At 40.4% G+C, this 26,910-nt stretch overlaps 1 long non-coding RNA gene across 2 annotated transcripts; it reads right to left on the reverse strand.

Annotated features, from left to right (window-relative positions):
• Positions 1–2,325: 2,325 nt before the first annotated feature.
• Positions 2,326–25,027, reverse strand: LOC105374789 (uncharacterized). Of its 2 annotated transcripts, XR_940223.3 has the most exons (3): positions 23,754–25,027; positions 19,481–19,557; positions 2,326–8,639 (listed from the first exon to the last, which is right to left on the reverse strand). It is a non-coding gene; the product is annotated as an uncharacterized LOC105374789 (long non-coding RNA). The 2 variants fall into 2 exon arrangements; XR_007086704.1 differs by lacking the exon at positions 2,326–8,639 and having other exon boundaries at positions 15,935–19,557.
• Between the last annotated feature and the right edge of the window lie 1,883 nt (positions 25,028–26,910).

The following is a 26,910-nucleotide window of genomic DNA, read 5'->3' on the forward strand; positions in this document are numbered from 1 at the left end:
TTTAACAGACCTAAGTTCTTTTTGGTTTCAGGATGTAGATAAGTTCTCTCCCTGATATTGATCACTACTGAAAATAATGGAGGAAATGTTTTCAGTAAGAAAAATCATTGCCTATTTGGAAAATTATTTGAAATCAGTTATTAAGGCTTGAAGATCAACTTACTATTTGGGTTTCACATAGTATGAACAATCGTAATGAAAATGACACATTGAGCGAATGTTGAAAAAGCTACTAGAAAATATGTCTTTAAAATGAGACTATAGGCCGAGTGCAGTGGCTTACACCTGTAATCTCAGCATTTTAGGAGGCTGAGGCATGCAAATTGCTTGAACTCAGTTCAAGACCAGCCTGGGCAACATGGTAAAACTTTTGTCTCTACAAAAAAAAAAAAAAATTTAGCCAGGCGTGGTAGCTCATGCCTGTAGTCCTGTAGTCCCAGCTACTGGGGAGGCTGAGGTGGGAGGATCACTTGAGCCCAGGAGGTCCAGAGGTTGCAATGAGCTGAGATCTGCCACTGCACTCCAGCCCGGGCAACAGAGCCAGACCCCGTCATAAAAAAAAAAAAAAAAAAAGACAGAGAGAGACTATATAAATAAGTCAATCTTACTCATTTATCTTTGGAATAAATATTCTGGGCTATAGCAGAACTTCAGGCCTGAAGTAGGTTAAAAATATAAATTAACAAATTTAAACAGAAATTTTTTTACTTTCTCCTACTTTTTGTCCTTGTCTTTACCTTTCTTTTCATGGTGCACCTTTTGTTTTCTGCTCTTTCTCTTTTGGCTCCACTTTACTAAATACTTCCAATGTTTTTTTTTTCCTTTTCTAGGGTTTGATATGTAGTACTACATACCAAATAAACAAACAGGATAGACTCCTTAAAGGAATCTGTTTCAAACAGCCAGACTTACTGGGTTTGAATGAAGTCCATGTGTCCTCTGCATGGATCTGAATAACTTTTCCAGTCTAATGCTATTATGATGTCAAGTGGAAATGGCTTCTCCAACCCACCCCATCTTAATGAGATCCTGACCCTCTGTGCTTATCTAATAGTGTGTATCACACAAAGTTAAGCTGCATGTATTTAGCCTACACATTCATTCGAAGGGGAATAGCGAAGTCATCGGAGCAGGGCTGAACTATGAAAAGAACAATTCCTTGTGTTTAAAGGAGCACAGAGATTACATTGATTAGCTGGCTCAACCTCTGGCAATTGCATTTTACCACTGTCAAAGCAAACTTATGGAAGCTTAATCTATGTTTTAGGAAAAGAGTCATTGTAAACACAACACCTTACTTCCTTTACATAGTTGATGTCTATCCAGTGAGTTGATCTATTTTATGAAACTCGCATCAGTATGGTTTGTCAGACCCAAACATCTAACTTTTACAGAACCTTGTTTGAACCCAGCCATCTCACTTTGCAGGGACTGGGGGGATGCAGGTTATTCTAATGAATGTAGCACATGTGGGTGCTAAGGCATCGCTTCTGATGGTAATGATCCATTTCTAGGGGCTCTCAGCCCCCACCAAAGGATATGCCATTTGTGTGAAACCCAGAGTCCTTGAATAACAAAGGCAGCTTCTAGCCCTGGGTGGGCCAAACTGAGCGCTTCAGGGTCACAAGCGTTCTCTCAGAGCAGGTGACTCCTGTCATCCTGTCGCCCGTCATAAGTATACTGCTGTCTATCTCCTCACAAAGCTTTTAACCATATTTTGGTTTCTCTGTGGTGCTCTTTACCAGAATTGATAGGGTTAGAACTTCAGCTGCCTCACTTCTCTCTTGTAAGGTGGGGCTGATAATACCAACCACCCCAGGTTGCCGTGTAGAGTAACGAGGTGATGAATGAAAGCACCTAGAACTATGCCCCGTCCATGGCTCCACAGCTGTTTTGCAAACGTGAGTATCACCCCCCACTTTGATTTTCTACCGATACCTATAAAAAAGAAAAAAGTGAGTTCATTATAACAAGCAACCTCTAACTCATTTTTTAGAGCCCAATTTTTTTGTGTGAGCTGCTTGAAATAGCTGCGCCCCCCAAACCAAAAAAAATGCTTCTCATGGAAGCATTCTATGAGAACACTGCAAGTGAAACTGTCTGTTCAGAAGGTGCTGGCTTACTACACATGTTAATGAATTGTTTTCCATCCTATAGACATAATCTGAATCAGAGACCTGAACAGAAGATGCAACTTCAGGCGCAGACCTCTGGGAGCCCTGAGATGGTCCAGATTCTGTTTAAAGGGTTTGTCTTAAAGAGTTAGAGGTAAAGATGAGCCTCTCCCTGATTTCTTTACATAAACAAAAATATAGGACAGTGGGGTAAGAGGTTTTCAAAACATTTTTATTATAAAAAATTCAAATACACACAAGAGCAAACAAAATAGTGCAATGGAGGGGGTTGTTTTTAAACAGCTGACATTATATTGCAATGCAGGGAGTAGAATGATAAAAAGAAAATATTTAAATGCTATGTTTATGCCTTCTGTGATGAATAGCTTATTTAAGTAATTATATGTTTCTATTCAAATTGTTATATGACACTCTCATCAGCAGTGACTAGCAGAAACCACAGTAAGATATACACGTGGCCTAGACTTTATGTATGACTAAGACCAAAGTTTTATGAAACGATTCTTAGTATTTGCAGTGCTCTCTTGATTTATTCACTGACTTCTTCATTTGTTCAGTATATGTTTGTAAGATTAAATAAAATAGGTGTTATAACATTTGTTTAGAGAACATCAATATAGAAAAGAGAATACACACCCCATTTAGTTTCAATTTTCCATCCATTCTTTCCGAAGATCTAACTAAAATTCTCCAGGGTACATAATTTCTTTTCTGCTATAGAACAAAACGTAGCTCACAAATCTAATATTCATGTGGACAGTTTATTGCAAAGGAACTTCTAAGCATTTTTATCATCATTTTGTGAAAAAGAAAACCTAGGAACATAGAACTTATATTCTATGACCTGTCCTTGGTCAAAATGCATAATCCCAAAGGAACGGCAGGACTTCTACCCCAGGGCAACACTCTTTCCACTTCATACTCAACACTGGCCTGTCCTGGTGGATTTGAATTTTCCACTGCAAGGTAATTATGGCCTTGTATATCCAAGCAGCTCAGAAAAGTCCTAAATCTGAAACAATCAAGTGTACTTTTTGCTTAAGCATTAAGCAGACTCCCATTCACCTCTGTACCAAAAGAGAGAGAGAGAACATTTGGATATGTCTAGCTTTGGTAATATAAATTAAATTAGAATTATTCTTTATCTACCCATCTAACACTTTTTCCCTCCCTCTTCTTTTTAAGAAATAAGCACAAATTAGCTCATCAAGATAGCAATGACTATGCGGTTTGAAAGAAGCAGCCCATGTTTGATGTTGCTTTGTTTCTAACAGAATTTTAAAAAAATGCTAAACTCAAACCCTATAATTCAGCCCAACCTGTTGCTATTCTTTGATGAAAGCATTTTTTAAAATAGCAGATAGGAAGCTGAGATTTGCATTGAGATAAAGATAGCATAGATCAAAAGCAATCATACATATGTCAGTTAGATTCAGTGATAAGATGTGGTAAGTGGTAGGTCCCATATCTAGTTACTTTATGTACAACCACATTTGCTGAATGCAGGCACTCTAATAGGCTAGACACTCATAGATGGAAATTAATGGAAGGCAATCTATGATGGTTAGACTGTTTGTTCTGGTATAGATCCAAGACTACATTTCTCCTAATTAGTAATATTACCGTAATTTTTTATAACTGTCTATGCTGCCCTGCCCAGAATAGTAAATTATCTTTGAAACTTTTATCTGGCATTTCTGAGGGGGTCAGCATTATTTTATAAGTACTCTATATCCCCCATACAGAAACTTAGAACTTAGACAATTTCCCCAATTTATTAGAAGGAAAAATATTTTGAGTTAAATTTTAAGGGGAGGAAAAATCCTCCCCTTAAAAAATCCATATAAGGCATTTTAGGGGGGAGGGTGCAAGTAATATAAAATAATGTCAATATCAATAGGACGCAGAAAAGAATGCTAAATTGGTTTTGAGGTGAAGTGGGATTGTGGAGAGGAGAGGATGAGAAGTAATGGTTTACTTGGTAAGTAAAATGGAAGAGTCATACAGTGGTTATTTTTCTGGAAGGCTGAGTTGTAGCAGAAACGTATTGATACAGACCACGGTTAATGCCACATGTCTCTTTGGGATGCCAGCCATACATTACCACTCATAATGAAGATAATCTTGGATAATCAAAGCCAGGCTATAAATCGCAGAGATTAAAAACCCGTATTAGGGAATTTCTATGCAGCTCAACATGGGGGTTGCTTCCTTACTTAATATATTCACTAAAGTCTAAAATTCTACAGCTGAATCTTCTCATTTACTTTCACCAGGCTTGAACACCCCTCATTTGTAATAATCAAGCCAAATTACCTTTTAGCTAAAATGGTGTTCTGCCATTGATGATCCAACAGGCCAGGGCTAGTGTGAAGCAGCTGAGGCACTTACCTCGAGCACAAAATTTAAGGTAGGGGGTGCCCACAGCTTCAGTAATCAAGATAAATAACATTTTAACTTCCCTACCGTAATCCTATCTCTGTTGAATCCTGTCTTTATTTAAAATTTTGATAGATTGTCCACCATGGATTTTTTTGCATTGAATTTGAGTTTTTAAATATTATTTTTCTTTATTACTGAGATGTGGGGCACTCTTTCAAATTTTGTTCCCTGAAGCAGGTGTTTCACATGGTCCGTAGTAGTCCTGGGCCTATAACCTTATTCTTATATTTACATCACTTCAGATTCAAAAAGTTATTTCTTACTTCTAGCCCAGAGTTTCCCAGCCTCAGCACTTTTGACATTTGGGGCCAGATAATTCTTTAGTTATAGGGGTGTCCTGTGCATGGCAGGATGTTCAGCAGCAACCCTGACATCTCCCCACTCAATGCCAGTAGCAATGCCAGATGCCTCCCCACCCCCACAGTTGTAATAGACCAAAAATGTCTCCACATATTGCCAAATCATCCCCAGTTGAGAACCACTGATCAAACCAACATCCCTCATGCTGCAACCACTCATTTGCTTCCCGTTGCTTTCCCAAGAGAGATGGGAAGCAGCTTTTCTTCATCTTCTAAATAACAACCCCATGAGATTCTTTGCTTTATAGAGCATGTGTTTACTTTATAATCTGATTAGAGTGATGATAATTACATTAGCATGTCTAGACTTACTAAGGTCAAAGCCTTGGCCTCTGTAAAGTTTATTCCTGTCTAATATCTGACATCTCAGTAGACCACTTGACCATCTGAAGCAGTGGCCTCTCCCGCAATTCAGAAATGCCTTGTAATCATAACCCCCTGTCAAACTGTAAACTCAACTCCTTCATTGCATTATGCCACAGGGATTAGTTACTCCCAGCAACATTCTACTCCCTTCAAAGTGAATTTCATCTTGGAATTTATCAGTAACCTTTATGTAAACTATCATATTTTCTTCCATCTCAGAAGCTAAGGCTCTAATGAGTCAGCTTACATTAAATAATTCAGCAATTCAACTTCCTCTGTGATCTTATTTTTTAACTACTACAATTTCAGGAAGCCATTTTGCCTATAATGAGCCAGAAAGATATTTAGCATTTTTCTTTCTGATCATTCAAAGGGAAAATTTATTATGAAATTTATAAAGCCCAGAGTCAGATTATACTGGAAGGTAAAAGTCCTTTTTTGGACGTGAGTTTTGTAAGAATATACTAAAAAGTCCTATAACCATCCATGCAAATTGCCATATGAATCATAAGTAAGTAGTCAGATGGATAAACTAGAAATTGTTCCTAATGATACACAATCTGTCACATTCACCCTCTGCTCTGTTGAACATTCACAAAATTCTGGTTACTTGTGTGTTTTTTTTCTTCCAGGTAAGAATAATGTATGTGAGAGTCTTATATTCAAGATAATGAGTTTGGATATTATACCAGTCAGAGTTGTTTACCGCAAGCAACAGAAAATAACTCTAGCTGATTTAAGCAGAGAAAAGCATGTGTTGCTGTGTTGTTCAATAGCTCAAGGCATTTCAACAGTGTTGGAACCAGGCTTAGAAAAGGAGGCCAGACAAGGGAAGCTAGGCAGCAGGTGGACAACTAAAATCACACCACTTAACCCATCTAATGGGGAAACCACCATCACTCCCCTCACGCTAAACACAGATATCACAGGTTGACTGGCAGCCACAGACACAGGACTTTGAATGTGCTGCTCCACCTCCGTGCCTCTGGATTTGCTGCTGTCTCTGATTCTATCTGTTACCAGCTCCCAGTTCAAAGGCAATAGCAGGTACATCCATTTAGTCAAGCCTGGGTCACATACCTGCATCCTAGCTGCAAGGGAGGCTAAAAAATGTGTGGAGTTTTCAGCTCCTAAAGTGGGAGTCAAGCAGCTAAAAAAAGAGAGACGGTTTCCACTGAGATGCGACAAACGGAGGTAATTAATAATAACAGATGAAGTCTTGGGCTCTGGAGTTAGACTGAATTTGAATCGATGCTATGTGACCTATGTGACCTTGGATAATAAATCACTTAAACCCTTACTTGTTTCTATTTCCTCACTTCTAAAATAGAGATAATACCGTTATCTGCATTAGAGACCCTTGTGAGGATTAAATACAAACATCCATGTACAATTTCTTAGCACAGGAACTGGCACAGAGTAAGTATTAATACTTCTATATTTCTGTGTGTGTGTGTGTGTGTGTGTGTGTTTAAATGAACACATGTTTATACCAACACATAACACTGATAGCAGAGACAGAGCTTCTCTACTCCCATTCTCTTTCCCTTTTAGAAACACCTACCAAATACTGAGAGAGTACCGCATATCTCAGACATTCATTTAGTTTAATGCTAGGCAAGGCAACTCGATTTAACTTTGGTCTCCTCCCTTAAAGCATACATGATCTAGCAGAGAGACACCAAGGATGAAAGAGTTATAATTCTACATATGTTATAATATAATAAAAACAAAAGTTCAGAGAGGGATAAGATTAATTTTATCTAGAGAGCTAGAAAAGATCATATAAAAGGAACTCAAAAGGGAATGTGAAGAATAGATAATAAGAATTTTCCAGAGAATAGAGAGAAATGGTTGTCTACCAAGCAGTGAGAATACTCCCAGCACAGCGGTATAAATGCAGGGTGTCTGGCAATGGGGAAGAATTCAGAAAGACAAGAGCATGGGTTGATGGGAAAGTAAACAAAGATGAATTGAGAAAGACAGATTAGGTCCAGATTGTCAAAACCCTCTGGGGTCACGGTGGTTATCCTGTCACCTGCTAACATGCATGCTAGCAAAACTGCTAGGAACTGACCCAAGGCCCTAGCAATGTGCCACATCATTGGCATCAGTATCTTCATATATTATTTGTTCTTTTTAAACTCATTATTCAGAAGTTAAATCCCAGGGATTAAGGTTGGCCTAAACAAAACAGTGGAATAGGCAAAGTTTCTCCTACTCGTTCCTTTTGTTGGGTCTTCCTTTCTCCCTTAACCTCCATCCCAGCTCCCCAGTGCCACCTGAAAGCCTCTGGTTCTGCATCACACCCATTGCAATGCTGCCAAAGCTTCAGGCCCTCATGTGTATTGCCAGCTCCAGATCCTCCCATTCTTCTTCCTCCACCAACACACCAGAGCCCTGATTTCTGTTTAGCTGACAAGACTGAGAATGGGCTAAACAGATAAACCAGACTTAACTTCCGTTCCTGTCAGTGGCCCTCTTAATAACACAGTATCCTGATAGTGACAGTGGCCTCCCCAGAACAGTTCCCCAACATCAGTTTCTGTCAGTTGCTACACCTACATCTTCCCCAACCTCTCCACCTCCCCATGCCCACCCTGCCACATGCTCTAATATGGACAAAATAATTCTTGTAGACCACAAAATAAGAATGCTCAAAAGCAGGATTGCTCCAGAAAATATGAGGCTAGCCACTGCTTCCTGGTTTCTTCTCAGGAAACTGAATCTGCTCTTCCCTCTGGACCAGAATCTGATCTCAAGTTCTCTAAGACCATCAACCCGGGGCAGGAGCCCAGTAGCTCCAGCATCTGCGTGACCAGAAATGGGATGATGTGGCTCCTTGCTGGAGATGTTTCAGCACATTGATTGCAAAACCCAGTGAGTTTCTCTCAGGTTTTGTTTCAGCTGCCAAGAGCCCAGGGCCTCAAGCCTTGTGAGCAGCTCCAGGAATCTCAGGGAATCGAGAAGAGACCCAGGACACTGGCATTGGCAAAATGTTGCTGGTGTGGCCGCGTGTAGCACTGAAGTGGCCTGGAGGGTGCGGCCCATTCGGAAGAGCTGTGGCTGGAAAGAGTTTGTACATAAGGGACAGGTAAAAATGAGCAATTATATTTGAGACAGATCCATTCATTCAGTGGCAATATATTTTTCTTCACATGCTTTTCTTTTCACAGCAAGCAAATGCACATGAAGCCAGTGACTATGAAGTCGGTCAGATTGAATTGACTCAGTTTTTCTCAAGTCTTCAAGCGTGAAGCATTGCAAACCTTCGAGTGTACACTGGGGAAAGAAAGGAAGGGAAAAAAGGACTCCACGGCAAAACCTAAGGAAAAGCCTGTGAAAAGAAAACGGCAAGATAGAGCAACACGATTTCAAATCTTAATCTCCTGAAATGGTGCTTCTAAAGCTGCACTTTCCACATTTCTAAGTGAGACTCTTCAAAACTCTGTGTCAAATCATGTTATAACCTTGCTTCTTATCTGTCTGCGATGGCTTTCAAGGGCCAGTAATTCCCCACATGCGGCAGAAAAGTTCACAGTAGAGATTTGTGCACTTGGCTAAGCTTCCCGCCTTGCTTTTTGTGGAGTGCTGGTGAAGGAGAGAGATTTCTTTTCCCTTTCAGAACTAATGCAACTGCCAAGGACACAGGCTAGAAGCAAACCAAATCACTCACTTGGACACATAATCTGCAGGACAACAACTTAATATTAGACTCTCTGCTTTTGTCCAGTAAAACACATGGCCTGGTAGAATGCCCCTGCAATTTTTTAAATTAAAAACTGGCAGACAAGACCACAAGTACAGGGGAGACTTTTTTGCTGCCTTCTTGCTAGACACCCTCCCTTGCCCCATCACCAGAGATGACCTGGAGTCTTGGGCGCTGGCTGCTGGGGTGACAGTGGTGCAGGGGGCTGAGGAAAGAAGAGTCATGGAAATCTTAATAAACTGCAGAGAGAGGGTGTCATCTGCCATAGGAAGGGTGGAGGCCACCTCACCGTCTCTTTCTCTACCTGCCTACTGGCCCTTGGACTGGCCTGAGGGTTTGCACAGGAAGAGGCAGGCGTGAAGAGCTCTGAACAGCATTCCCTGCATCAGGGGCCATAAATGCAAGTGTCAGCCAGGGTCTGGCAGGTAACATCAGCAAGTAAAATGGGTGAGGTCTAAGAAAAGAAAAGGAAGGAAGACATTATCTACTATGTTATTTGTTTTTGTTTTTTAATAAAGATAGTTTTATTTCTTTACAAAAAAAATTAAGATGGCCAAGGCAGGTGGATCACTTGAGGTCAGAAGTTTGAGACCAGCCTGAGCAATATGATGAAGCCCCATCTCTACTAAAAATGCAAAAATTAGCCGGGCGTGGTGGTGGGCACCTGTAATCCCAGCTACTCGGGAGGCTGAAGCAGGAGAATTGCTTGAACCCAGGAGGCAGAGGTTGCAATGGGCCAAGATTGCACCACTGCACTCCAGCCTGGGAGACAGAGAGAGACTCTACTTCAAAAAATAATAATAAAAAAAATTAAAATAAAGATGACATTCTGAAACAAAAACAAAATTAATTCCTCTTGGCAAGCTGATACACTTTCTTGTATTAGGCACGAGATCTATTGTTCCCATTTTCCCTTGACTTCCAAGAGGCTCAAAGCTATATTTTGTGCTTCCCTTTGATTTTTTTTGGACCCATCTTTCTCTCATTCTCACCTGTCTCCTCTCCCAATGTGCACACACATTTTATACACATACATCATATACACACATATATATGCCACATACCCATATACGAGCATCATAGGCTCTTCTATTTTTACCTCTGGCATTTTTCCCTTTATTGTAAGTTTTATCACAAATCCTTATGACAGTATGCAGTGTGAAGTAATAAATTAATAAAACGAGTGCTTTCTACATTCAGGAGGCTGATGTTTCCAATTCTTTAATCAGACTACCACACCATTAGCTGCCAAGGAATCCAGACAACCTGGAAACACAGATCAGATTCCACCCTTGGTTCCTAGAGTGGTACAGAGGACAAGACCTACAGGGTTCTGCCCACTCTTGGGTGAAAAAGGACCAAAATAGCAGAATCCAGAGCCCTATTTTTTAACCACCTTGAAGCACACTCTCCTATTCCTCCCACTCTCTCACTCTCTTTCTCTCTCTTTCTCTCTCTCTCTCACACACACACACACACACACACCTGGTAGTCTACACAGATGTGGCATAGATAACGGAAGTATAATACTAGTTTAAACATTCCAGAGTTCTTAATTCCTTACTATCAAGCCCTGTATTAATATGTGCCAAACTGGCCAGGCATGGTGGCTCACGCTTGTAATCCCAGCACTTTGGGAGACAGAGGCAGGAGGATCATTTGAGCCCAGGAGTTGGAGATCAGCCTAGGCAACATAGCAAGACCACCATTTCTACAAAAAAAAAAAAAAAAAAAAAAAATTATAATTAGCCAGGCATGGTGATGCATGCCTGTAGTCCTCACTACTTGGGAGGCTGAGGAAGGAGGATCACTTGAGCGCAGGAGTTCAAGGCTGTAGTGAGCTGTGATCGTGCCACTGCACTCCAGCCTAGGCAACAGAGAAAAACATTGTCTCTAAAATACACACACACGCATATATAGAGAGAGATACATATAAATAAATGCCAATGTCTTATTTTTTATTTTCTTCTGTTTTAGGCTTTGGTTTTGTTTTTGTTTTTATTCTGGAGATGGAGTCTCACTGTCACCTAGACTGGAGTACAGTGGCGTGATCTCATCTTACTGCAACCTCTGCCTCCTGGGTTCAAGCAATTCTCCTGCCTCAGCCTCCCGAGTAGCTGGGATTATAGGCGCCTGCCACCACTCCTGGCTAATTTTTGTATTTTTAGTAGAGATGAGGTTTCATCATGTTGGCCAGGCTGGTTCAAACTCCTGACCTCAAATGATCCACCTGCCTCGGCCTCCCAAAGTGCTGGGATTACAGGTGTGAGCCACTGTACCCAACCCATTTTAGGTATTTCCATATAAAACTCTGTACCAAATGTCCAAATTCAATGGAAAGGACCATTAAATTAATTCCAAATTCTAACTCCAAAAGTATTCTGATTTTTAAAACATCTTTTTATTTTCATTTTAAGGATTCGAAGGATTTCTCTTTGGAAGTTTGTTGCTTTTATTTCTATTTTTACTCACTATTTTCTCTGTCTGCAAGCCAAATAGAGATGATATACATTAGGAAGGAGCTACAGATTCAAAATTAATCTCCACCAAAGTTAATTCCTGCATAAATTAAGCTGAATTTGTTTTTTCAACACCATGAATCAAGTTTAATAGCTATAAATAAAACATGAATTTGAGTTTCCTCATTTATAACTTCAAATCCATGACATTTTAGCATAGGAAGGGTAACGTTTTCTTTTTTCTTCTTTTTTAGAGCTCTGAGGCTAGTCATCTGAGAGACTGTAGTAAATATTGTTGATTCAAATAAATTCCTCTCTATGGCTGAAAAAGCTAATACTAAGAAGCCCACAGAAAAATTATCTCTGCATTCCTTTGTATGCTTATGCAAAACATCATGATCCTCCTCTTGGGACCAGCAAACCAGTAGAGAAATTGCCAGAGATGTGAGCTTTGGGGGTTGGGAAGGCTGTTCTGCTGCATGAAGCGCATGGCTGGTTGTTGGCCTCAGGTTACTCTATGGCTATAATTAGTTCTTGGAGAAATCGTGAACTGGGATTAAAATAGGATGTCAGGATGACCCTGTTGAGACCTAACCTGTAGTAGGTGCTGTGGTGCACCCCTACCCGCTTTGCTTGGCCCAGTGCACCCTCCCCAGCTGTGTGAATGTCTGGTGCCAACACACTTACTACAGAAATTATGCCCCACCCCACCCTCCCACCAAGGCCAAGGCAGCCCACAACCATTGAGAGCACAAGAGGACAATCCCCTTCCCTCAATTTTGTCTTGAGGTTTACACTCCATAACTACATTGTTTGATGTGGTAGCCATTAGCCATATTAACTATTTAAATTTACATCAAATTTAATTAAACATTTAGTTCCTCAGTTATACTAGCCACACTGCAAGTGCTCAATGGCCATAGGTAGCCAGTGACAACTCTACTGGACAGTGCAGATTCTATAGAACATTTCCATTATCATGGTAAGTTCTACTGGCCAACACTGCTTTAGAGTCTACCCCTATGGATCAGACCAACGTGAGGCTTCCCCTGAGGCAACGTCCTTGCTCTCTTTCCCTCTCCCTATCCTGCTTTCATGCCGCCCCTTTAAGTTTTTTAATTCTGTTTCTGAAGAACACTCCCTCAATAAGTCTTCTGCATTTGAATCCCTGTTTTGGACTCTGCTTCTAGGGAATTCTATCCAAGACACTATCTCTATTGCTTTCAGCTTATCGTAAACCAAGGAGTAAGCGTTTATGCATGGAAGCCTTGGACTTCCTTACTCTAGAGATAACATGTAGTCATGCTTTCTGAAGTATAGCCTCGAAGAATCAGTGGGCCTAAATTTCATAAAAGGAAAGGGGTTCTGAGAACGTAATGGAAAGTTTCATTTTCACACCTGAGAGGAAGTGACTGAGGGGTGCAAGTCTCTGCAAGAGGCCGGGTCCTGTGCTCCACTTGCATGCAATGGCAAGATGGGGGCACTAGCTGAGGTGTGCTGGGAGAGTCCACAGTAAGAGCCACGGGTGTGAAAGCAGAATACATGGTCCGCGGTGGGAGACAAGCTGTTGATGGTAGAACCAAGCAGAGGAAAGGGGCAGTGGTAATGATGTGGCCAACAAGGACTAAGCGGTAGGCCCCCACCACATTTGTATCTGGAAGTAAGGTATGCTCTAATGACAGAGGGGAGGGAGCCCCAATACTAATACTGAATAACCAGCCTGGTGAGTGGACTTTCAGAACTGGATAAAATGTGTTATAAACACACATGTGTAGCCATCAGGGAAATGTAAATCAAAACCACAAGCGGATTTCACTTTACACCCATGAGGATGGCTATGCTCAAGAGGAAAAAAAATGTTGGCGAGCACGTGGAGAAATTGGAACCCTCAAGCATTGCTTGTAGGAATGTAAAATGGTACAATCACTTTGAAAAACAGTCCAGCAGTTCCTCAACAAACTACACATAGAGTTACCATACGACCCAGCGATTCCACTCCTAGGCATGTACCCAAAAGAAATGAAACATATGAAATGATACAAAAAGAAAAAAGTGTGTAGGTGAATGTTCATAGCAGCATTGTTCATAACAGCCACATAATAGAAACAACCCAAAGGTCCATCAACTGGTGAATGGATAAATTAAATGTGGTATAACCACACAATATTATGCAATGACAAAAAAGAATGGAGTATTGACATGTGCTACAACGTCAATGAACCTTTAAAGGACACAACATGAATGGATCTTGAAATGTCAAGAATAGATAAATCTATGGAGACATAAAGCAGATTAGTGGTTGCCAGGGGCTGGGGAGGTTTGGAGGAAGTGTGGAGTGACAGATAATGAGTTACAAAGTTTCTTTTTGGGGTGATGACAATGTTCTAAATGTGATTGTAGTGATGGCTGCACAACTCTGAAAATACTAAAAAAACACTTTAAATGGGTGAATTGTATGGGATATGAATTACATCTCAATAAAGCTGTTAGAAACACACACAGACACACACAAGCAATGTGAGTTTTTTGCACTGTAGCTGTGTGACAAAATCATTTACATTGCAATATTTGTTTATCTTTAAATTTATACCTGGGGACCCCTCCTGTATTTTTTCAGATGAGCCTGTGACTCAGGCTGAATGACTGGCAAAGGCACAATAACCTCTCAATTTCTTGAACATGTTCTATTTTATCTCTCTCTTCTGAAGTAACTGGTCAGATAAATATTAAATCAGACATATTGTCTGATGAATCGATCACCAAGAGATTCATGCAAGGAATGTAAAAGCTAGTGTGAAAATAAGGGCATGCCACATTCATCCTCAAACAGGAACACATACTGGGAAGATTATGAAATGTAATAGCCTCAAAATAAACTTTCTCATCCTAAACAGGAAATAGATGTTAAATAGAGAAAATCAATTTATTCCCTATTCTGACCTAAGTCTTCCCTTTGAGTCTTCAAATAAGTAGGTTTTCCCTTCCCAAATAGTCCAACCTGGAACTGTTCCATAGAAATAAAATGCAAGCCACACATGTAATTTTAAATTTTCTGAAGGTCACATTTTAAAAAATCAAAATAAAACTGTGAAATTAATTTTAAGAGTATATTTTATTTAACCAAATAGATCCAAAATATTAACAATTCAACATGCAACCAATATAAAAAATTATTGAGACATTACTTTTTTTAGTATTAAGTCTTCAAAATCCTGTTTATAGTTTACACTATTAGTGTGATCTAATAATAGATCTCAACTTAAACTACATTTCAAGTGCTTGTGGTTGCTGTATTGGACAGTGCAGTTCCAACTACTACCTTAAACTTAAAATCTATCCATCACTCTGCCAGGTGCAGTGATTCACGCCTGTAATCCCAGCACTTTGGGAGACCAAGGTGGGTGGATCACCTGAGGTCAGGAGTTCAATATCAGCCTGGCCAACATGGTGAAACCCTGTCTCTACTAAAAATAAAAAAAAATAAATAAATAAAAAATTAGCTAGGCATGGTGCCGGGCACCTATAATCCCAGCTACTTGAGAGGCTGAGGCAGGAAAATCACTTGAACCCAGGAGGCAGAGGTTGCAGTGAGCTGAGATCACTCCATTGCACTCTAGCCTGGGCAACAAAACTGAAACTCCATCTCAAAAAAAAAAAAAAAAAAATCTATCCATCAGTCAGTAGACCAGTGATTATTTTCAGTGATCAAGCACAGATAAGTTTGTCTTCCAGGGCCTCATCTAAAACTACCTGAACCTTAAGATCCCTTTAAGCTATAAAATTCTGAGGCTCTGGGATTTCTCATTCTAAAATCTCCTCCAGCATATCTAACCAGTCTGATTTTTAGTCATGCCTCCTACCAATCAACCAAGATTTGAAATACTTTTGTATGTGTTTGGGCCTGTGTAAAAATTGGCCCATGTTCAGATGATGTGGTCCATCTGCAAATTAAGGAATGAGACAGGCCGAGGAAAAGAGAATATTTTGGTTCATGGCTTAAGGATAATTAAATCAATTTTTAAACCATTTTTTATTTAGTTTAAAAGCAATGAGCTTTACCTACATGTGTGTGAAATGTAATAATGTATCCATTAAGTAAATACAAACATATAGGCTGGGTGTGGAGACTCACACCTGTAATCCCAGCACTTTGGGAGGCCAAGGCGGGCAGATCACCTGCGGTCAGGAGTTTGAGACCAGCCTGGCCAACATGGTAAAACCCCGCCTCTACTAAAAATACAAAAATTAGCTGGGCGTGGTGGCAGGTGCCTGTAATCCCAGTGACTCAGGAGGCTGAGGCAGGAGAATCGATTGAATCCAGGAGGCGGAGGTTGCAGTGAGCCGAGATGGTGCCACTGCACTCCAGCCTGAGTTACAGAGTGAGACTCCATCTCAAAAACAAAACAAAACAAAACAAAAATAAACAAAAAAAAACAAGAAAACTAACAAACATACACACAAGGATATTTATTGCTGTGCTTTTATTATAGTAAAATACTAAAAATTAATTAAATGTTCACCCAAAGACAGTTTTTTTTAAATGAGTGACACAATTCCAGACTAAGGTTGAAAGATCCCCGAGATATTCTGTAAACTGAAAAAAGCTAGATCCAGGACAATGGATATCTTTACGTGCATGAGGAAAAAAATGTGTTTTTATAACATATTTTATCCAGTTCTGAGCCAATTTCTTGCAATTTCTTATAATAATTTCTTACAATTTCTTACACATTCTTATAATAAATTTATACACATACACACACATTTAGCTATTGATTCTATTTTTCTAGGGAACCCTGACTAATATAGGTAGTTCATACAAAAGCCCATCACACAGTGGTATTAACAAGTGTTCAGTAAGTGGTTCTGCGGTTAAGGCTAGCTTCTTGTAACCTCAGGCATTCCTTGATTTGTACATTCATCGCTCCAATCTTCCATCTTTACATGAGTATTTTCTCCCTGTGTGTCTTCACATTATCTTCCTTCTGTGCATGTCTATCTCTATGTCTGAATTTCCCTTTTTTATGAGGACATCAGTCACGCTGAATAGGGCCTAGCCTATGCCCTCATTTTAAATGGACTGCCCTTTTCCTATTAAGTTGCATGACCCTATTTCCAAGCAGTTACCACATTCTGAGGTAACTGTGGGTTTGAACTTCAACATCTATTTAGGGGGACACAAATCAATCTATTACATGATCCAATGACAGCATCCAGGGAAGACAAAAACCTGAGAAAGGGTTGGGAGCCAGCAGCCACAGGCAGAATTACTACATTAGTCATCATGCTGTAGATTGCATTTCATTAGAGAGTTAGGGTTTGGCGGGGAATGGAGGCAGCTAGATATGAGCACCTCCTTTCATCTTTGTTTCTAGCCAAGGAAACCAACTGCAATTCTGAAGAACACAAAGGGAAGCACTCCAAAACATACTGCAAAATACCTATTCCCTAAGGCCAATGCAGTTGGCCTGTGCTGTACTGAAACTAAAATGAAAAGAAAAAGTAGTGGAAAATGCAACTTTGTACTTATTTTTCTCCAGTCCCAAGGGTATAATGAAAACAGACACTTTCAGCTCAAGATTTTGCTGCCAGGATTCTAGCCGGATTTCTCACAATGCCCTAGCCAACTATACGTTCATTAATTATTGGGAATCCAAGCTCCAAAGGAGGGATTTTCACAACCCATTCAGATCCCATCAGCATCCAAATCTTCCTAGAGGGGATATTTGCTGATTTTATTTCATCCAATTGACTATCCTGGTTGGAGCCCTTAAGTATGCATCACTTAGATATTACTCACTCAGAGTTTCATTAAGGACCAAAGAAAGCCATCCAAACACATTCTGAAGCAATAGCCAGATCTGCTGAGCCCTAAAGCAAGGAAAATTCTGGCCTTTCATGCTTAAGATTCTCTTCTTGGCAACCATCTTTAAAGACAGAGCATCTTTAAATGGTCTGTCAGACAAGCCCTTGATGCTGTTCATGTTTATATTTGTGAGATTACTTGTGAGGTGGGAGTGGAAGGAAGAAGGTAAAGATGAAGGCAAAAAAGGTGAGATACACTGGGGAGGTGAAGGTGGAGATGAGTGGATTGACACCCTGACAGATGGTAATCAATGGCCTTGATTACACACAATGACCACTGTGAGGGTAAATTCAGAAGTAAAAATAATAATTCCTCCTTACATTTACTGAACACTTATTAAGTGCTCTGAGTATTATCTTATATAAGCCTCACAGTAACTATGAAGTGGGAACTATTATTGCTCCCATTTTAAGGATGAGAATACTGAGACTTAAAAAGATTAAGTGATTTACCCAAGGTTGCACAACCACTTAAGCAGTAGTGACCAGACTGAAAACCAGACACTCTGACTTGGAAGCCAGCCTCGCAACTCCCACTCTTTATTATTTTTTATGTAATACTTGATATATACAATGTACGTATAAGACACATATGTTATCGTCTTAGTCTGTTTTGTGTTGCTATAAAATAATACCTAAGGCTGACTACAAGAAGCATGGCACTGGCACCTGCTTGGCTTCTGGTGAAAGCCTTGGACTGCTTCCACTTATGGCAGAAGGTGAAAGGGATCCAGCATGTGCAGAGATCACATGGAAAAAGAGGAGGAAGCAGTGGCAGGCTGAAGGGAGTGGCAGGGAGGAGAGGTGTCAGGCTCTTTTTAACAATCGGCTCTCTTGGAAACTAATGGAGTGAGAGCTCACTCACTCTCAAGGGAGGGCATTAACCTTTTCATGAGAGATCCACTCCTATGACCCAAACACTTCCTACTAGGCCCCACCTCTCAACAGTACCACACTGGGCATGAGGTTTGGTGGGAACAAACAAACCATATCTAAACCACAGCAGTTATAAAGCACAGTAATAACATAAATACCTGTGAACCTATCATGCAACTTAAGAACTGTCCCTCTTTGTCTGATACCTTTAAGTCACCTATGTGCCTCTACTCATCCCCTCTCCTCTCTACCCCAGCAGGATCCATCATTTTGAATTTTGTGTTTATCATTCTCTTGGTTTTAAAAAATAGCTTTACCACATAGGTAAATATCCTTAAAATTTTAGTTTTAGTTTGTTTTTTGAGCTTCCATAAAATGGGGTCAATCTTCTATATACAATTTGTCACTTTTTTTAACTCAATGTTATTTACCTAAAATTTGTTAATGTTGTATCAGTTAGCTGTACTTTAATCATTTTCACAGAGTCCATTTGTATAAATAGACCACAATTTATTTATACATTCTCCCATTGAGGAGCATTTGGGTTATTTCCAGTTTTTGCTGTTACAAGCAATGATGCTATAAACATTCTTGAACTTGCCAATGGGTGCACATGTGCAAGAATTTCCCTGGGGTACTGCATGGTGGTAAAGCATGCTTAATTTTATGAGATAATGTCAAATTATTTTCCAAAGTTTTTATACCCATTTACACTCCTCACTCATGTTGTAAGAGTCCTTGTTGCTCCACATACTCACCAAAAATAGATATTGTCAGGCTTCCTAGTGTTTGCTAAGTTAGTGGGAGCAAAATGATATCTCATTTGGTTTCAGTTTGTATTTGTACATTATTATTGTTATTATTGTTACTATAAGTCACATCCAGACAATATTTGTTTGCATTTACCTCAGTTTAACCCTCATGTTTACTGGGTATTTCTGAAACTGGCCCAATATCCCCATATAACTGATGCTTATGGTCTTTGGATAGACATAGAAATTGACCCTCTTGGTCTTAAAGCTTGAAATTTACATTTGTCTTATCTGAGTTCCTTTCTCAGGAAACTGATCCTCAGGCCTCCTAGATAGTATCAAGGAAATGAAACTTACCAGATCACCACATCCAGATAATAAGACACCAGACCCCTCATCTGTCATGATTGCTTCCTTACTGCTCCCTAATTCCTGTTTTCCCACACATAGTTACATTTCTTCCCTGCTATATAAATCCCTAATTTTAGTCAGTTGAGAAGACAGATTTAAGACTTACCTCCCCTTCTCCTTGGCTGCAGCACCTTGATGAAAGTTTCTTCCCTGGCAGTGCTTGTTGTCTCAGTGATTGGCTTTCTGTGCAGTGAGCAACAGGACCCAGATTGAACCCCTAGCATTTCAGTAACATTTCTGTTCCTCATTTTTGCTTATATTTCTGAACTCCCTACTGGAATAATTTTTCTTCTTCCTGAATTACATCCTTTAGAACTTCATTTAATTAAGAACCATTGGTTGTAAATTATCTCATTCTTTGCTACTCTGAAGATGTCTTTATTTAGCCCCTTTTCCTGGGAAAGTACGTTTCCTGGAACACAGTAAGTTAATCAGTTTGAAGATATTATTCTATTGTTGTCTAGTTTCCCTTGTCAAGGAGTCTCCTGTCAGCCAACTTGTTTTTATTTTGTAGGTGATCCTTTTCTCTGGCTTTTATTTAAGATCTTCTTTTGGCCTTTAGTATTTTGTTCTATTACACAAGAATGTGTCTAGGTGTGGAATTTTAGTCTGCTTAGTATATGTTGGTCTTCCTATAGCTGTGGATTCATGGCTGTCATCATATTTGGAAAATTATAATCCATGATATGTCAAATGTTGTCTCTCCTCTATTTGTTCATTCTATCTTTTGTATTGCTTAACTTCTCTGTCATACTTTTTATCTCCCTATCTAGCCCTTATCTAGCCCTAACAATAATTTCTCATATTTTTTTGATAGCTCACCAATTTTAACCAATCCGTTGTGTTATTAATATCTAGGTTATGGCTGGGTGTGGTGGCTCATACCTGTAATCCCAGCACTTTGGGAAACCAAGGCAGGAAGATCACTTGAGCCCAGGAGTTTGAGCCTAGCATGGGCAAGATGGCAAAACCTCATCTCTACAAAAAATTTAAAAATTAGCCAGGTGTGGTAGTGTGTGCCTGTAGTCCCAACTAGGAAGGCTAGGATGGGAGGATCCCTTGAGCCCAAGAGTTCAAGGCAGCAGAGAGCTGTGATCACACCACACCACTGCACTCCAGCCTGGGTGACAAAGTGAGACCTCGTCTCTATTTTTTTAATTACAAAAATTTTATATATATATAATTTATATATATATACTTATATATATATATCTACTTACCACTCAATGCTATGTATACATATATATATAGAGAGAGAGAGAGAGAGATGTTATAATTTTTCATTTCTTCATTTTATTTCAAATGAGAAAATGAATGCCATTTCTGATTTTCCAGGTCACTTTATAGTCTCTTCCATGCACATTTTCTAAGTAAATTTTTTTTATCTTTGAATTTTCTTTAAAATGCTACGTGTCTAATAATTACAATGTCTAGAATCTGTGGGGTGTGGGTCTATATCTGTTTTTAGTTTCAGCTGACATTCAATATGTATTCATTTCCTAGTGAGTTCTATAACAAATTACGACCAAATTGGTGACTTAAGACAACACAAACTCTTTCTCATACAGTTTGGGGTCAGAAGTCCAAAAGCGCTAAGCTAAAGTCAAGGCTGATTCTTCTGGAGGCTGTAGGAATGATGTTCCCTTGCCTTTTCTAGCTTCTAGGGGCTTCCATCATTCCATGGCCAATGACCCCTTCCTTGCATCATTCCATACTCCAACCTGTTGCATCTTCTACTTTATTTATTTATTTATTTATTTATTTATTTATTTATTTATTTTTGTAAAATGAGATGAGGTCTTGCTATGTTGCCTAGGCTGGTCTTGAACTCCTGAGCTCATGCGATCCTCCCACCTCAGCCTCCCAAAGTGCTGGGACTACATGCATGAGCCACCCTGCTTAGCCAACATCCTCTACTTCTGTAGTCACACTTTCCTCTGCCTCCCTCTTATAAGAACACTTGTGATTACATCTAGGACCCATTTGGATAATACAGAATAATCTCTTCATTCAAGATCCTTAACTTAATCACACCTGCAAAGTCCTTTTTGCCATGTAAGGTGATACTAACTAACAGTGCAGTGTGACAGGCTGCCCTACCAGGTTACTTAAAAGTATATGCCCGCTGCCTGAACCCTGAAGGCCAGATAGTAAGTCACGGCCATGGTACCCAGCTGAGGAGCAGGTGTCCCTGAGAGCCTAAACATCCCAGGGAGTATGTGAGAACCTACCAAAGAAAACAGTACCATCACACAAACACAGTAGGCAAAGAGCCCGAAAATTAGCTTAACAGCAGCTTAGAGAAGGGAGGTGGCACAGATCTCTTGAGCTGTGCTGCTGCCACTCAGGAGTGCCCTGCCCTGTATGTCTCAATAAACTCATCTACTTGCCAAACACAACTTCCCTAAATCATTCTTTGGTCTTTCGGCACCTTCCCAACTTGGGAGGGATAGGGGATGTTACAGTCTCAAATTTTTCTCATAACACACGGATCCAGGGCTTAGGACTGAGATATTCAGGGGTGCCATTTTCTAGCTCATTACACACTTACTGTGTCAGAGACTCAGTTGACAACAAGCATCCATTCCCCAACTCCCTTGCTAGTAAGGAAAATACTAATTTTTAGTCAAGCTTATTGTTGGCCAGTTAAAACTCCCTAGTTTTTGTTCACATCAAGATGTGATCATTGTGGTTAAATTTTTGACAATAAATTTTAAGTGGCAGTACTGTGTGCAAACTTCAGAATGTTTTGGTTTTGTTTTTTTTTAAATAGGCCTGCCCTTCATCCCTTTCCTTCCACAATTGGCCTGGAATGTGAGCATCTGGAGCTCTAGCTGCCATCTTGGGTCACAAGAACAAGGAGCATAACGTAGATCTGAGATGATTCATAAACTGTAAAGAAACAGGTCCCTGATGAATTTCTGATGAATCTGTCCTGGACACCTATCTCATGACGTCTTTTAGATGAAAACAAATAAAACTGTGTGTGTCTAAGCCACCATTATTTGTTTGTTCTGCTGTGTGAGGCTAAACTTAGTCCTAACTCATATCATCATTATGTCTTTTGTTTCTTTGTATATTTGGGGATTTTTTCATCATAATTATCCATTTGGTTTCACATAGTCTATAGGAATCCTGAAATCCTGAATTAATGACACCTTCCTCAAAAGGGATTTGAATTTATATATTTCTGGAATTACGTATGCTAACAACAAGGGACAGCTTTAGCCTCCTTAATTAGGACACAGGGCCTGGCAGCAGCCTCAGAGCTTAGCTTTCAATCCCTCATTTGTGACTGACACTGGCATTTCTCCTCCAAGTTTTGCAGTTTGCTTACCACTCAATGCTAGCTTTAGCTTACTATGCATGTTTGCATGTTGTTTTATTTTGTTTTGTTGACATTGGAAAGTTCCCTTTGTTTCTTGTAAGAGCTCAACGTATTTAAAAAAAGTTATAATCTGATTATATTGCCATTGTAGTGGAATATTACTTCAGAGTCCTGTTCACCATTCACCCAGAAGCGGCACTGACGCCCTTCCCATGCCAGTTTCACCATTAGATGTGCTACGAAGGCTTTATGTCAGATTGACCCATCCAATACTTTGATGCAAGCTTGGTACAAGCAGAGCTCTTCTGAAAATAATATTGTTACCACTTTCTATGTGGTAACAATTCACTCATGTATTTGTACTGGGGATTCGGTTTGCACTCATTACTATTATTTTCTTTTAGAGTTTCTGGGACCTCTTTCAAATTACACGAGTTCATTCCTCTGCCTGCAAAGATTCGGACCCATCCCCAGGGATGTGTATAATACAATTCTACTAAGGGAAATACACTATTACTCTGCAACTTGCTTTTTTAATTAATAATATGTCATTTTGCCTTTCAGTACTTATAGTCACCTCATTCTTCCTTCATAGCCGAATAGTATTCTGTGGTACATACCACAATTTATTAAACAATTTTACCATTGATAGACCTTTAGGTTGCTTCCAATATTTTGATATTATTAATACTGCTGTGCTATAATAAGCATATATATACTTGTATATGTGCACATATTTCTGAGTAAATTTATACTTATTGGTTCAAGGGGTATGAATATTTAACATTTTGATGGATGTTGCCAATTTGTCTCCACCAAAAGCCATGCTAATGTAATGTGTTTGTGACAGAGACTACTAATGCCAACTTAATATTAATTTTCCCAAATTCTATACTGAAAGAATCCCTATTTTATTTCAGAGCGGTGGTATGCCTAGCCAAAGGCAACATTTCACAGTCTCACTCTGAGCTAAGTGTAGTCACATGACTAACTTCTGTCCGCTGAACTATGAATGAAAGTGTCGTGTGGGGTGTGCTGCAGTGCCACTTACTGGAAGATGTGCCACTTTCCACCCTTCTATCTTTATTCCTTCTTCAAACCTTCTCAGTGGTTTGATGGCAAGGTCCTTGCAGTCATCATGAACCATGAAATCATCTTGAGGATAGGGGTAGTGGAGAAAAAAGAATGGAGCCTGAATCATGGAGAGACACTATGCAACTTTAGACTACCTACAGCTTGACTTTCATTATATGGGAGAATTAACCCATTATTTTCCAGGTCTTTGCTACATGCAGGTAAATACTATTTCTAAATAACACAGCACCCCTTTCAATCATATAAACAATACACCAGTCCCATTGAGTACTTGCTGTGGTCCCCATCATGTGCTGTAGACTGTCACCGCAGAGCCCTTGCTCACTACCACAGTGGCTGTTCTTTCTGCATGGGTCAGTGCAACCAGGTAGGTGGGCTTGTACATTGACTCCTCATCCTTTCTTTCCCAATTGGTGACCTCAGTTCACAGGACTAGTAGAACAAACTTTAAATTTTCATTTTTGGCTCAGATCATCTAGGGAAATTAGTCTACACAAATACACACACACACACATACGCACATCCAGTACATACAGAAAACCAAATGGCTTTTCAGAATCCACAAATCTTCCCATACTTGAAGCAATCCTTACTTCAGTCTGAAGAGTTTTCCAAAATAACCCCTCAGCCCCTTTTAAGAGAAGACCTATCTAATGAAAAATATAAACGTTCTATGGAATAAAACATTGCAGACTTAATAATTCAAAACTGCTACTAAATCAATGTACTGCTTGTTGGTTTGTCAATATAGCTTTTTCAATTAGACAATTTTATTACAGTGATGAATACCAATGGCACAATTAAGAGACTGCCGTTCTAAATTATGGTCTGTTTAGCCTAACAATCCATATTTGCTACTGAATAAATGTGATGACTATAGCCTCCTAAAGATGAATGGGCCTCTATTGGCAGCTGCACCTGTCCCTGGTGAGGACTGGGCAGGAATGACTCTCATCATATTCCTTCATGGGATCCTTCTGGCTGACCACTGTAATGGCATGTTGCCTCCCTTCACAGTGCCCTCTCCTACACCAGGAACACCTACCCTGCTGGTGATGGGTGTTGTAGATAGTGCCTGACAAGTAAGTTCCGAGTTCCACACCAAATCCCGCTTTTCCTGGTAAATGAAAACAGCACATGAGGTGAGGCACATTGGCTCTTTTTCCCAGCACTTAGGGAGGTCAAGGCAGGAGGATCGCTTGAGGCCAGGAGTAACAGAGCCTGGGCCGGGCGTGGTGGCTCACGTCTGTAATCCCAGCACTTTGGGAGGCCGAGGCGGGTGGATCATCTGAGGTCAGGGGTTCAAGACTAGCCTGGCTAACGTGGCAAAACCCCGTCTCTACTAAAAATACATAAATTAGCCAGGTGTGGTGATGCGTGTCTGTAGTCCCAGCTACTTGGGAGGCTGAGGCAGGAGAATCACTTGAACCTGGGAGGTGGAGGTTGCAGTGAACCAAGATGGCACCATTGTACTCCTGGTACAGCCTGAGTGACAGAGTGAGGCTCTGTCTCAAAAAGAAAAAACAAAACAAAACAAAACAAACAAAACAGAGCCTGGTTTCCTTTTCAGCAGAATGAGGATAATAATCTCTACTTTCTAGAGTTGTAATAATTATAAGTGTGTGTGCATTCCTCTGACACATAGCAGATACTCAGAAAAGGTTAGTTGACTTTGAATCTATCAAACATATGGATACAGCAAGCCCTATTCCTCGAGGAAGGGGCAAGAGCCTCCACTTCTCCATGGCAACATTGTGTTATTGCTTTCCTCCTCATCCTTATTAGAAGTACCTGCTTTGGGGCCCATAAATATCAGTGGGCAGCATTTTTGCTTCTTCCCTGACTTTGCTGCAGGCTCTTAGCTTCCAAGTCTTCCATGTTTAATGCCAAAACAGGGTCACCTGCATTTAAGTGAATGACAAACCACCAGAAGGCAGACAACTTGGCTTCTTTCCTTGTTTTATGCCCCCAAAGCATGGGCAGGCAAGGTCCGAGTTGTCTCTGTTTGCCCTCTGTACCCACCCTCCCCGACACACTTCTGGGCCTCTCCTGGGAGGCTCTACAGAGGACAATTCAATTCAGCTCATAAAGGTGGGGTAGGGCAACCAACTCATCTTGCTTTTCCTGGGAATTTCTGTTTTTCACATTAAAAGGCCAGCAGCATCCCAGGACAGATGGTCACCTGAGGTGGGGGGCACCACGGGCATGTGGATCTGAACGGCTTCTTTTGAGGGGCTTTGCCTATTGGGTGTGAAGCAGGCCTCGTGAGTCAGTGCCTGACCCTCTGGGTTTCCACTGGCTTCCGTCTTGACTTCAGAGACTCCTCCCTAAGGATCAGCACCAGGGTCACCGCCTCTGGTCTTGCTAGGCCTTGTAAATAACAACCCAGCCCAAGGGAGCAGCCCTTCTCAGCGTGCCCTTTCCTCATGGCAGATTGGCCGTTAGACATGAGCTGCACTACTTAACAACCCCCATTTTCCCCTCACTTTCCCAGGTTGCTCATAACAGAACCATGAGGAGAGAGAGTTCCTGGGACCCCAAACTGAAGCCTGGTCTCCCCTGCTGGTAACTAATGAGAGTCTCCAAGGGCTGAGGCCCGCATTTGTTACTGTGTTGACTCTTTTGTGAGCTATTTATCCTTTGGTAACATATGCCCTCATATAACTATATAACTATATATATATATATATATATATATATATATATATATATATATTTTTTTTTTTTTTTTTTTTTTTTAAAGGTGTAGTCTCACTCTGTCTCCCAGGCTGGAGTGCAGTGGCGCGATCTCAGCTCACTACAACATCCGCCTCCCAGGTTCAAGCAATTCTTCTGCCTCAGCCTCCCAAGTAGCTGGGACTACAGGCACGTGCCACCACACCCGGCTAATTTTTTGTATTTTTAGTAGAGAAAGGGTTTCACCATGTTAGCCGGACTGGTCTCAATCGCCTGACCTCATGATCCACCCGCCTCGGCCTCCCAAAGTGCTGGGATTGTAAGTATGAGCCACCGCACCTGGCCTATACCCTCATATTTAACATCAAATAGTTACTCAGCACCCACACTAGCTGCCCAGCATGGCACCATGGGGCATATTCCCCTGCCCTTGAGGA

This window comes from Homo sapiens, chromosome 2, assembly GCF_000001405.40.
Source record: "Homo sapiens chromosome 2, GRCh38.p14 Primary Assembly".
Lineage (NCBI taxonomy): Eukaryota > Metazoa > Chordata > Mammalia > Primates > Hominidae > Homo > Homo sapiens.